At 39.7% G+C, this 13,509-nt stretch overlaps 1 protein-coding gene and 2 pseudogenes across 21 annotated transcripts in view; 2 read left to right on the plus strand and 1 right to left on the minus strand.

Moving 5' to 3' along the window:
* The window catches only part of TNRC6C (trinucleotide repeat containing adaptor 6C), a 151,279-nt gene that overhangs the window by 100,391 nt on the left and 37,379 nt on the right, over window positions 1-13,509 (plus strand). For all 21 annotated transcript variants that reach the window (NM_001395512.1, NM_001395509.1, NM_001142640.2 and 18 more), the window contains 3 exons: window positions 6,775-6,990; window positions 9,810-9,976; window positions 13,138-13,218. In NM_001395512.1, coding sequence (NP_001382441.1) covers window positions 6,775-6,990; window positions 9,810-9,976; window positions 13,138-13,218 — 464 coding nt within the window. The remainder of the gene's footprint in view (window positions 1-6,774; window positions 6,991-9,809; window positions 9,977-13,137; window positions 13,219-13,509) is intronic.
* On the minus strand, window positions 8,318-8,700 carry UBE2V2P2 (ubiquitin conjugating enzyme E2 V2 pseudogene 2; annotated as a pseudogene).
* RNU6-625P (RNA, U6 small nuclear 625, pseudogene) lies at window positions 9,000-9,106 on the plus strand (annotated as a pseudogene).

Here is a 13,509-nt window from a genome sequence, read left to right on the forward strand (position 1 = left end):
TGCAGTATAGCTTCCTAAACTGGATTGTCTGGACCTGGTTCAGGTTCATTCTGGAGATAAAACAACAGTATTAGTCCAGAGAAATATCCCTGTGCCTGCCTTTTTATCAGAAATTGTAGGCTGCCTGAGAAGGGCTCCAGAGGCCGCACTTGACACTCCTCGAACATTGCCTCAATTACTCAGTCTCTGGTGCGAGCCAGAATTGCAGGACCTGCTACCTTGCGCTCTGCTGTGCATACAAAGCTATTAAGTCGTCATAAAATCAGTCTGCTGTTTTACCAGTTAGTGGGATGTGGCAGAAAGGGAGAAAGTGCAAACATAGCATTTATGTGTGTTCTAAGGGAATGAAAGCAGATCCTAAAAATACTCAGCAACATGATTACCTCGCATACTCAGACATAATATTCTGGGACACTTAAAAACCAACTTGCAGACACACAAGAGAACATTGAATATTAATTAACAAAACCATTTAGTGAGTAATGGAGCCTCATAGTTGGCTCTGAATCTAACAATGAGATTGAAGAAGAACTTCCAGGGATTTCATCTCTGAACTCAGATTTCACTGAAATGTAGATAATTTTAGAGTCAAATATGAAGGCCATTATACAGTTGATCCAAGCTAAACCAGCAGCAGTGGGGTAGTGACATCTTACTGTGTCTTCCAACAATGGCTAGAAGTAAAATATCATTACATATGCCAATCAGAAAACTGGCAGGCAGTATACTGCTAATACTGATCTTAGTCTAGAATTTGTTGTGTGTTCATTTTGCTGCCTATTTGCAGCTCTTCAGAGATGTATCTCAGCCATAGCAGGGATTCCAGCTGTGCTGGTGGTGACCACTGTGGGCTCCTACAAGTCGGCAAAGGCTCTAGCCAGAGGCACACTTTACTTTGCATGTGGGTACTTAATCTGGTGATATTTGCTTTAAAACTTAGTTTTCTGAAACAATTATCATCTTATAAAATATAAAACCAGAGGTTGTGTGCATTAATCATGGAAGAGGCATATCTCCAATTCACTAAACTAAAACTTGGAAAAAATTAGATTTAGGAAGCTTCTACCTAAAAAGATGAGACGTGTATTGTTTCTATAAGTCTCATTAGCAGCAGAAGCCAGAGAGCAGTGGCCTTCCTTCCAGACTCCTGTCCTAGGAAGTTTATCATTCTTTAGTATAAAAACTACACCAAAAGACAGTCACCTGCAGATGGAGTGAATCAGCAAGATCCTGTTACAGCTCAGCTGTTTTCACATAACTTCGGAAATAGATCCCATTGACCTCTGCAGCCAGAAGTAATTCTATTTTAAGCACTATGCAGTAGTTACTAAAAGAGAAATTATCTGAGTGATCTGTGCTTTTTGTGGATGTGGGATTTTTCTTGGGTTTGGATTTGGCTGGGTTGTTTTTGCTTTCCTGTGTTTGAGGGGTTTGGTAAGTGGGGCTGGACTTCAGCAAGGACTGGGGAGTTGGGAGCCTGCTACGGAAGTAGGAAGAGATGCTTCTCAGTGCAAGTCCGTGGCGTGAGACGTGTGAACCCCACATGCAAAGGCCTTAGCTTTAGGTACCTTCAATTCAAAATAGATAAATGATGAAGACAGTTGAAAATACAGTGTGAGGCCGGACACAGTGGCTCACGCCTGTAATCCCAGCACTTTGGGAGGCTGAGCCAGGTGGGTTGCTTGAACCCTGGAGTTTGAGAACAACCTGGGCAACCTAGTGAGACCCACGTCTCTACAAAAAATACAAAAATTAGCTGGGCATAGTGGCACACGCCTCTAGTCCCGGCTACTCAAGAGGCTGAGGCAGGAGGATCACCAGAGCCCAGGGAGGTGAAGGCTGCAGTGAGCTGTGGTTGCACCACCACACTCCATCCTGGACAACAGGAGACCCTGTCTCAAAAAAAAAAAAAAAAAGAAAAAGAAAATATAGTGTGCCCCCCGCCACCGATAGCAGTAGGAAAGAGTTAGCCCATTAAAATCTGTATTAGTATCGTGAAATCAAAACTGTATAAGATGGTTTTCCTTTTCTAATACTTCACATGATGACTCAATAAGGCAGGCAGAAGAAGCTGTTCTAAGGGAAGTTACTGTGCAGCTCAAGGCCCGTGGTCAGTTTCTAGAAGGGACCCCGAATCTGTAACCCTCAAACAGAGTCCCCTGACTTTGGAATGGAAGTGTCAAATGCCCACCACAAAGGCTTTCAGAAAAGTAGGATACTTTGCCATCTGACTGTACTCTTGTATAATGAGCAAACTCTTCTATATAAAGTTTCATTGTACAAAGACCCATCTTGATTTCAGATAAGAAAGTTTTATTGATCTTACAGCTATCAATTCTGCTCTGTTCCTCCATAAGCAAGTACCCAACCAGCCATCATAGTAAATTTGCATTAAGTTTAAAGGCCGTTGGTATGAGTAAAAAATCTCATCTCATTAATATTTAGGTCAGTACCTTAAAAAGCCAAGCACATAGCAAGCACTCAATAAATGCCTGATCGATTGCATTTTTAATCGTTTATCTTTTTTTTTTTTTTTTTTTTTGAGACAGAGTCTTAACTCTGTCGCCCAGGCTGGAGTGCAGTGGCACGATCTCAGCTCACTGCAACCTCTGCCTCCCAGGGTCAAGCAATTCTGGTGCCTCAGCCTCCTGAGTAGTGGGTACTACTACAGGTGTGTGCCACCATGTTGGCTAGGCTGGTCTCAAACTCCTGGCCTCAAGTGATCCACCTCAAGTGAGCCACCATGCCTGGCCTAGTCCTTTATCATATACTCTTAATTAATTACAATTGGCCACCTTTTAACTAAAACTTTCCTCCCAAAAAGGACTGCCCATCACACTTATAAAGCTATGTAAGTGGCATCTGTGGAACAAGCTATAATTAATTTCTTATTTCATAGAGGAAAGAATTTCATCCACTGACTTAATTATCTGTAGTGCTTAAGATGTGATGTGCTTAACAATGTTCAGTGAGAGAAAGATTCTCTGTTTCTTGGTCCTATTTCTTGGCCTTTTCTCTGTCTGCTGCTCATTTTTATACCCAGCTTCCAGATGCACTCTGTTTTCTCCATTCTGAAGGAAAGATGAAGAATGTATATTTTAAAATTGAATGAAAACTACATATCCTGGCTGTGTTTTATTATCCCCATCTCTGTTTGTTAATTTGAAGAAATTGAAGGGAGGTAACGATTCTAAGACCCCATAGTACGGAAATATTCTGCAAAAAGCAGTAGTATTTGAAGGATCATTTTTAAAAGTTTAATATCAGTATTTTAAATGTAAGAAATTTGTTCTACCTCATCAATTCTAACTTTAAAAGAATCCCTATAAATTATTAACAAAAAGATGCCAAATTCACTCTGATGATAAACACTTAACAGTGGAGATTATTTTAATTCTATGTACTTAAAATCATTTTCTGTGTGCTGAAAATACTTGTTTTGCATCAAAATTTTCTATTGCATTTCAGTTTTTAGCATCTCTTCTAGAACCTTTAGAGTGTCAGATGGTACATCCTAGTGTTTCTGTTAGGATGGCATTGTAGGTAAATTATAGTCTTGCCAGATTCAACTGAAAATGAAAATACTGGGCCAGGTGTGGGGGCAGGCATCTGTAATCTCAGCTACTCAGAAGCAGGAGGATCGCTTGAATCTAGGAGTTCGAGGCTGCAGCGCACTATGATCACACTTAAGAACAGCCACTGCACTTCAGCCCAGGCAACGTAACAAGACCCCATCTCTATTAAATAAATATCAAAATGGAAATATTTGGTTTTTTAATTTTTTTGAGTAAGCAAGTGTTCTTCCATTTCTAAGATTTTGAAACATGATGCTTGCAAGTCGTTTGCCTTCTCCATGAAAATACTTACTAGACATTTCTCCTGCCTTTAAGAGGAATTTTAAATTCTTTATAAAAATCAATGAACTATGCTTACCACAATCTTAGTATTTATCCTTAGTTTTGACTTAATTAAATAATTTGTAATACCTATTGCCTTCTCAAAGAGATGGAGGTCTAGAGATGATAAACAAATTCTAGGTGAGTTCATTATTTAATTACCTACAGTAAATTAGTATTTTTATAGCTAATTGGTCTTTAGCAACACATGAGTTATTTTAGCTTACTAAAACCTTGATAATTTTTATTAGCTATGTTAACGTCTCTGATTTAATTTTGTCCTTTCAATTTGTAAAACTACTTCTCCCAATATATATTATTGTCTTTTGTGTAATTAAAGGTAATATTATAGTTAGCAATTGCTGGCGATAACTGGTTAGGACTAACTCCCCTGTTATTGGTAACTATTTGCATAATATATTCCTCAGCATAGAGCTTGTAATTTAAAATGATTTTTAGGTTGCGTGTCCTTTTGTTATTAATCATTCTTACTGCATTTTCTTAGAATAAGAGTATCAAGGGAACTGATTCCATGCTATTTTTAGTCAGAAAATTAATACATTTTGTAATTGATATTGTAATATCCATGTTGAGGCCAAACAATGTAAAATTGATGGTTAACTATTTGCATTTTATACTGTAAGTTTTTCTCTTGCACACAGTCACATGCTTGCTACAGTTATGACTTAAAATATTTATATTTCTGTCTGAGCAAAATGTATCTATATGAAAATTACAACTGATACAAGCTGTCAACATATCAACAGTGTCAGGTGAGCTTATGGCAGAAGCAAAAGATTAGAATTTGAGTTTATTTGGAAAAATAAAATTGACCTATGCAATATAAAATGTTTTTTGTACTGAAGTGTGAAGGGCGTGGGGAAATCCTTCTTATTGCCTGGTTTCATAACCTCTTCTGTGCCTGTAGATAATGCAGTTGGCCCTTGAACAGTTTGGGATTAGGGTTACCAAAAGTATAACTTAGGACTTCCCAAAAACTTAACTACTTGACCAGAAGCCTTATTGATAGCAGTCAGTTAACACATACTTTTTATGCCTTCAGAGTTTTATACAATAAGATAAGCTAGAGAACAGAAGACATTATTAAGAAAATTGTAAAGACTGGGTACGGTAACTCACATCTGTAATCCCAGCACTTTGGGAGGCTGAAGCGGGGGGATCACTTGAGGTCAGGAGTTCGAGACCAGCCTGGCCAACATGGTGAAACCCTGTCCTTACTAAAAATTCAAAAATTAGCCGAGCATGTTGTTGCGTGCCTGTAGTCCCAGCTACTCAGGAGACTGAGGCATGAGAACCCCTTAACCCGGGAGGCGGTGGTTGCAGTGAGCCAAGATTGTGCTACTGCACTCCAGCCTGGGCAACAGAGCAAGACTCTGTCTCCAAAATATATATATATATATAAATAATATATATATATGTATAATTTTAATTGTAAGGAGAAAGTACACTTACTATTCATTAGGTGGAATTGGATCATCATAAAGGTCTTCATCCTCATCATCTTCATGTTGAGGAGCAGGCTGAGGAGGAAGGGGAGGGCTTGGTCTTGCTGTCTCTGGGGTGGTGGAGGTGGAAGAAAATTTGTATAAATGGATCACTGAAGTTCACACCCGTGTTGTCAAGGGTCACCTGTGATTCTATATGCATCTCTAACCTGTTTCCACAAGGGACCAATCCCTGAGGATGCTGTTGCAACAGGACTTGGCAAAGGAATGAAAGGGTTCCTGAAAAACCCTCCCAGAGTACCTGTAGGAACTACTCTGATCCATAATTCAACTCTCTTCTGCCTTCTAAGACAGATACCTCAGATCTCTCTCAGCTTGTGGGTGGTACCATAGAAACTGTCTGCATTTTCCAGTTATGACTTTACCTTTATGTTTTTAATCTGCCATCTTCTCATTTCTTTGCCCAGATAAGGTGATCTGTGTCTATGATGGTCAAAAGATAAACAAGAATAATATTTCAGTATATATTTGCAACTCACAAATTTTTCTTAGAATGATTTCTTTTATGTCATTACATATAATACAAGATGTAAACAAGCTATTTAACCATAGTTTTAAACTATTCTTTTAAACCCTACTATGTTGCAAATGCTGACAATTGAATAGGCTTTAATGTTTAATGGACTTTTAAAGTTGAAAATAGGTAGAGGGCAGGAGTTAGAAAATGGCAATTTTTTATTTTTTCATGTTTTGAGACAGATTCTTGCTCTGTCGCCCAGGCTAGAGTGCAGTGGCACAATCTTGGCTCACTGCAACCTCTGCCTCCCGGGTTACCAAAGTATAACTTAGGACTTCGTAAAACTTAACCACTTGGTTCCCGGGTTCAAGAGATTCTCCTGCCTCAGCCTCCCCAATAGCTCGGATTACAAGTGCACGCCACCATACCCAGCTAAATTTTTGTATTTTTAGTAGTGACAGGGTTTCACCATGTTGGCCAGACTGGTCTCGAACTCCTGACCTTAAGTAATCCACCTGACTCCCAAAGTGCTGGAATTACAGGCATGAGCCACCGCATCTGACCAGTTTTAAGAAGCCAAACAAGCCATGTGCAGTGACACGCCCCAGTAGTCCCAGCTACTTAGGAGGATTGAGTGAGCCCAGGAGTTGAGGGCAGCCTGGGCAACACAGCGAGTCCCCATCTCTAAATAAAAATAAATGAATAAAAATTTTAAAATACAAAGCTAAACAAATCTGATTACATGTAATACATTTGCCTCCTTTAAATTTTCTACTAAAGGCTATTCTAAGGATAGATTATCTTGAAATTATTTTGAAATTGAAAACTGAATTATATTTTTGCTTTTCTCTGATGCACTTTCATTATTTTCTCTACCCCTTGGAACCTTTTTCAGTTTCATCAGGCTGGGGAGAAATGCCTAATGTTCACTCAAAGACTGAAAACTCTTGGGGAGAACCATCCTCCCCTTCTACCCTGGTGGATAATGGCACAGCAGCATGGGGGAAGCCACCCAGCAGTGGCAGCGGGTGGGGAGATCACCCTGCAGAGCCGCCGGTGGCATTTGGAAGAGCTGGCGCACCTGTTGCTGCCTCAGCCCTGTGCAAACCAGGTAAGCCTAGCATCCTGCTTGCCCTGATCTGGCAATTTGGAAATGACTCAAAGTATTGAATTTTAAAGATTAGAGTTTTAGGATACTTTCCTCATTATATTTACACTTTAACTACAAACCAAGAGTCTTGGCCAAGCACAGTGCCTCACACCTATAATCCCAGCACTTTGGGAGTCCAGGGCAGGAGGATCGCTTGAGCGCAGGAGTTTGAGACCAGCCTAGGCAGCATAGTGAGACCTTGTCACTACAAAAAAAAATTGAAAAATTAGCCAGGCATGGTGGCACATGCCTGTAATCCCAGCTATTCGGGAGGCTATGGTGGGAGAATTGCTTGAGCCCGGGAGGTTAAGACTGCCCTGAGCCATGACTGTACCACTCATGAGCCTGAGCAATAGAGCAAGACCCCATCTCTTTAAAAAGGAAAAAAAAAAAGCCAAGATTATAAAATATTTGCCATGCCTGATACATGAACACAAAGGAGCTTTTAAGAGATGTCCATACCCTCCTTTTATAATAATACAAATAAATGCAAAAGTCAAAGCAACCCCGCATATTATGTTTGATTCTCCTGGTAATACCCACACTACTTCAGCAGTATTCTTGTACCTGCCACATTAAGTAATTTAAACCTGCTATTTCACTGAGCAAGATAGATAAAACATGTCATCTCCTTGAGATTAGTTTTTGAAAATATGTATTACCTCACAGCAGCCTAACGCATCTTGCCGTATTGCCCTGCTTTCATCTTGTCAACAGAATTCCACTGGGTGGAATTTGCCATGTTTGTTTTAAAGTTGTTTATGCCTAAACAACTTGAAAAAATTTTAAAAAGGTACATTTTCCTCCCATTTTCTGAAAGTGTAGCAAATATGCAGGTAATAAGTATCCTTATAAATGTCCAGATTATGTATACCAAGTGGAATTCTTATATGGGTGTTTTGCAATGTGATATTTGTAATATTAACATGAGTATAAGATTACTGATTTAAATCTGATATTAAAATTAATTGTGGCTGGGCATGGTAGCTCACGCCTGTAATCTCAGCACTTTGGGAGGCCAAGGTGGGTGGACCACCTGAGGTCAGGAGTTCGAAACCAGCCTGGCCAACAAGGTGAAACCCCATCTCTACTAAAAATACAAAAATTAGCTGGACATAGTGATGAGCGCCTCTAATCCCAGCTACTCAGGAGGCTGAGGCAGGAGAATCGCTTGAACCCGGGAGGCAGAGGTTGCAGTGAGCCAAGATCAGGCCACTGCACTGTAGCCTGGGAGACAGAGACTCCATCTCAAAAAAAAAAAAAAAAATTCGTTGTTCACATAACTGCAGAAGCTTCATCTTTTCTTTGGACATTATTAGATGTCCTAGATCTTAAAATGCAACTTTATTGGTTTTGTACTTTGTGGTTTTTTTTGGTTTTTTTTGTTTTTTGTTTTGCTAATACTCGATAGTATGTTCCATATAGCCACCACTCTGCTCAAAGTATTCCATTTATATTACTTTTTTTTACAAACCTAAAGGATAAGGGAACTTGTGAGTATTTAGATTCATGCGCCATTTTGAGCATTCTATTTTGAGAATTTGTCCTTGGAGGCACAGTTATGTGCCTATTCCATATGTTTATCAGCCTTGTATCTTCATTGAAGACCCAGCTAACTGTGCTCTTACCTAGTCTTTGCCCTTCTTCATATTCTTCCAAGAAGTGAAAATTTGGGGTAATTTTGATACCGAAAATCACTTTGTATTTTAAGATAGGAGGAAAAAACAATATCTGAAGTGGAAACTCGATAGTCACTTTGTAGCTCCATCTGCCTAAGGCCTCCATCCTGCTAGTCTGTAAGCATCTCCTGCGGGCTTGTTAGAAATGCAGCCTGTCGGGCCCAACCTCAGGCCTGCCAGACTTCACATGATCCAGCTGACTGTCACGAGTGGACAGGTTTGAGAAGCTCTGGTCTGTGTGACTTAATGCTCATAGGTTTGGATCAAGCAGTGATTAAGAATCAGACAGAGATGCTCATTTCAGCAGCACATGTACTAAAATTGGAACAATACAGAGAAGATTCGCGTGGTTCCTATGCAAGGATGAGATACAGATTTATGAAGCATCCCATATACAAATTTTCCTGCCACTTGTGATGGCTCATGACTGTAATCCCAACACTTTGGGATGCCGAGGCAGGAGGACTACTTGAGCCCAAGAGTTTGAGACCAGCCTGGGCAACATAGTGAGACCCCATCTCTATTAAAAAGAAAAAAAAAATTAGCTGGATGTGGTGGCACATGCCTGTAGTCCTAGCTACTTGAGAGGCTGAGGCAGGAGGATCACTTGAGCCCAGGAGTTTGAGGTTGCAGTGAGCTGTGATTGCACTACTATAATCCGGGCAACAGAGCAAGACCCTGTTTCAAAAAAAAGAAAAAAACCTACAAATTTTAAAAACCACACAGGACAATGAAATGTTTTAGGAATCTACATTTCTGTAGCCTTTTCATACCATGTAGAGATTGCCACCTTCCCTGGTGGCCCCAGGATTTGTTCTTAGCATGTTTATGTTTCAGAATGATGTGTAGTTGGTTAAGGAAGTTTAGAACAGCACAGAGTACAAATAGCTGATGTTTGAAGGAAAAATTATATACATATACATGTTTATTTACATATGTAGCAAGAGAAATTCAATTCTGAGATCTGGGAGAAATGAAGGCATAAAAAGGTAGATTACAATGCATCATTTGTCCCACGACCCCTAAATTATATGTTACAGTGGAAGCATTGTCTGCGTTAGGGACATGAATTTGATAAGTTCATGTTTGCTCTGTTTCTAGCTTCAAAATCTATGCAAGAAGGCTGGGGCAGTGGTGGGGATGAAATGAACCTCAGTACCAGCCAGTGGGAGGATGAAGAAGGGGACGTGTGGAATAATGCTGCTTCCCAAGAAAGCACCTCCTCCTGCAGCTCCTGGGGGAACGCCCCCAAAAAAGGACTTCAAAAGGTAAGTACAACACTCTTAACGACGGTACACCCTGAAAACCAAAGGTACTTCAGACACATTCAGTATCCAGTTAATCAGACAAAAAGATAGACCTGAGGTTCTCAAAGTAGTCTTAGGACCCTTGGAGGTCCCAGAGACCCTTTCAGGGGAGTAAGCAAGGTCACAACTATTATCATGCCAGTACTAAGACTGTCTTTTTCATTTGAAGTCTCTCTCCGGTATAGGGTAGAGGTGTCCAGAGAACTTTATTGTAGCAGAGAATGTGCAGAAACAGGCATGAAAATCCAGCCATTTCTCTTAAGCCAGACATAGAGATTTGCCAAAAGGCAAAACAGTGCCACCCTTCTCATGAAAAATTAATTACTTTTTATTTTAAAATGTTAGGTTAATGTGTAGTGACTATTATTTTTAAGCAAAATTATATTTTTAAATTTTCTCAGTTTTAATTTCTAATACAGTAAATAGCAATAGACACAACTCATGTCAACAGAAGTTCTTTGGGATCTTCAGTCTCTAAGAGAGTATTATAGGGTCCTGAGACCAAAAAGTTTGAGACAGATGGTTAAGAAGTCTTAAAACAGATGGGCAGGCAGGGCACAGTGGCTCACACCTGTAATCCCGGCACTTTGGGAGGCCAAAGTGGGTGGATCACTTGAGGTCAGGAGTTCAAGTCCAGCCTGGCCAACATGGTGAAACCCCATCTCTACTAAAAATACAAAAACTAGCTGGGCGTGGTGGTGGGTGCCTGTAATCCCAGCTACTCGGGAGGCTGAGGCAAGAGAATTGCTTAAACCTGGGAGGCGGAGGTTGCAGTTGCAGTGAGCCAAGATCGCCTCACTGCACTCCAGCCTGGGCGACAGAGCGAGACTCCCTCTCAAAAAAAAAGACACAAATGTGCGGTCATCTAGAAAACACTGAGATACACATCTCATATATACATGAGCTACATGAGACGTGTATCTCATTTTTTTCTAGATGACTGCCCAATTCAGTCCACATTCAGCATGACTGAATTTCAAGTAGGTCACAAACTTAAATATTAAAAATATGAAAACATGAAAGAACATTAAAAACAATTTTGGACTCAGAGAGGCCTAACTATGACCAAAATCTAAAAGCCATAAAATAAAATTTTTTTGTGTCAATAGATAAATGTAAAAACTGTACATGACAGAAAATACCATAATCAAAGTCAAAAGAAAAATAGCAAACTGGAAAAATATGTTTATAACTCATATCATAGAGAGGGCCAATCCCCTGATACATAAAGTCCTAGAAACTGATTTAAAAAAAAAATCAGCCAGAAACCCAGTAGAAAAAGGAGCACAGAATGTGAAGAGTAGCTGGTCCACAGAGAAGGAGCACCAGTGGCTCCTAGACACGGACTCACAGGAAGGCAGTGCAGTTCCAGACAGCACTCAGAGACACCTGCCATTTTTCATCTCTCAGACCCACAGAAAGCCAGCGTTTTGATTTTTTTATTTAAAAAAATTTTTTTAGAGACAGAGTCTTGCTGTGTCACCTTAGGGGCTGGAGTACAACCTTGAACTCCTGGGCTCGAATTGTCCTCCTGCCTCAGCCTCCTGAGTAGCTGGGTCTACAGGTGCATGCCACTCTGCCCAACTAATTTTATTTTTTATTTTTTCTGTAGAGACAGAGTCTCACTTTGTGGCATTTATACAGTTTTGTATTGCAGCATTTTTGTAGTAAAAAGATAACAATAATTTATGTGTACATTGATGGAGTAACAAGTTAATTATGTCACTTCTACATTATACAGAACTAAAAGGAAATTCTATCTATGTATTGATATGAAAAGATCACTAAAGTACATTGTTAAATTAAAAGCAAGGTGCAGAAAAACATGTACAGCACACACCCTATTTTGTGGGGTAGGAGGAAGAAAACGTGTGTGTGTGTATGTGAGTGTGTGTATGCATGCATGCACACGTAGTGTATCAGCTTCTACAGAATGTTCTAAATTCTCTGGAAGGGCAAATAAGAAACTGCTATGAGTAGTGCCTCTTCGAGAGAACAGGAACTAAGCAAATGGGGTGGCATGAGATGAAAACTTTCTTTATACCTTGTTTATACTTTTGAATCGTGTGAATGTATTCATGTTCAAAAAAATATAGTTTATAAAAGCATTCAGTTAATAATCAGCAGAAACCAGAAACTAAAATCAGAGCTCTCCGCTCATGAGGAGTAGAAGTGATTACAGACATCAAAAAGAATCCTTTTTACAGTTGGGCTGGCAAATAATCCAGTTAATGATGGGACCAAAAATAGCAAATTGGTAAATTAAAATCTTGACTAATCTGGCTCTGGCAGCATAGTAATGATTGAAATAGCCCCAAAATAAGCTAGTTCCTTGAGGAAAGAAAGCCTGTTTATAGAGCTCCATATGCTCCATGATATAGCTGTGGCAGGCTCAATTGTGAAAAACACTATGAAGAATATTTTTGGAAGGGAATTTTTTTCATATTGTAATAATGCATCATTAGAACCTTTGCATTTATAGGCTCAGAGGGAAGTTATTGAGAAGCCTCCTGGCTCTTCTGTGGTGCCGAGCCCTCCCCCACCCCCACTGCTCTTTCTGTAGCTGACCTTTTTCCTCATCCTCTCCTTCACTGACATTTTCCTCCTTATTCCTTTTCTCTACCCTATGAGCTATAAGTAACAAATAGTTAATAAAATTAACAGGTTGTTTCATCCTTTCTTCTTGCTGCCTCTTTACTCATTGGAATAAACCCCCTCATTTTATCATTTTTCAGAATAAAGCTTAGAAAAGGCAAAAAGTGTAATTTTTAGTAAACTTCACATAGGGCTGTGTTCAAGGGAGCGCTTAGGATTATTGGATAGTAAAAGTAGTCTATATTTGTGATAAACTAAATTAATTATCTGGGAAAGAGAAATAATTATCTTGCTTTAAGTTCATAAATTGCACATATATACCAACCTGCAAATGTACCTTGATGCTTTCCGTAGCAGTAGCCACGAAATACTGTTAGGGAGTTTCTGGAATACAGCATTATTCAATGTTAATACAAAAAGATCCTGTGACTTTTAAATGACCCTGAATTTAGGCTGTCTCCCATTTCTGGTAGAAATGCATTAAAATGTAGCTCATGGACTTCCCCCTTTCCCACACTTTGTTCAAGGGCATGAAGACGTCTGGCAAGCAGGATGAGGCCTGGATCATGAGCCGGCTGATCAAACAACTCACAGACATGGGCTTCCCGGTAACTGGCGTCGTAGTTTACTGCTACCCACCATGCTTCCCAAAATGAAATGCCCTCATTGTTTCCTCTCCATGTTTGTTATGTGTGTCAGAAGACACCAAGATTGTTTGAGGAATGAGATATTGACATCATCTAACTCTTAAATCTCCCTTTTACCTGGGTAGTTTGGGTTAGAGATCATTGCTTTGAACTACAGCAAAGACCCACACAATTTCTATCAAAAAGGGTGTGAGAGCCTTTTCCTAGAATAGAAAATGCTTTTTTTTTTTGGAGACAGGGTCTTGCTCTGGC

This window comes from Homo sapiens, chromosome 17, assembly GCF_000001405.40.
Source record: "Homo sapiens chromosome 17, GRCh38.p14 Primary Assembly".
Classification (NCBI taxonomy): domain Eukaryota; kingdom Metazoa; phylum Chordata; class Mammalia; order Primates; family Hominidae; genus Homo; species Homo sapiens.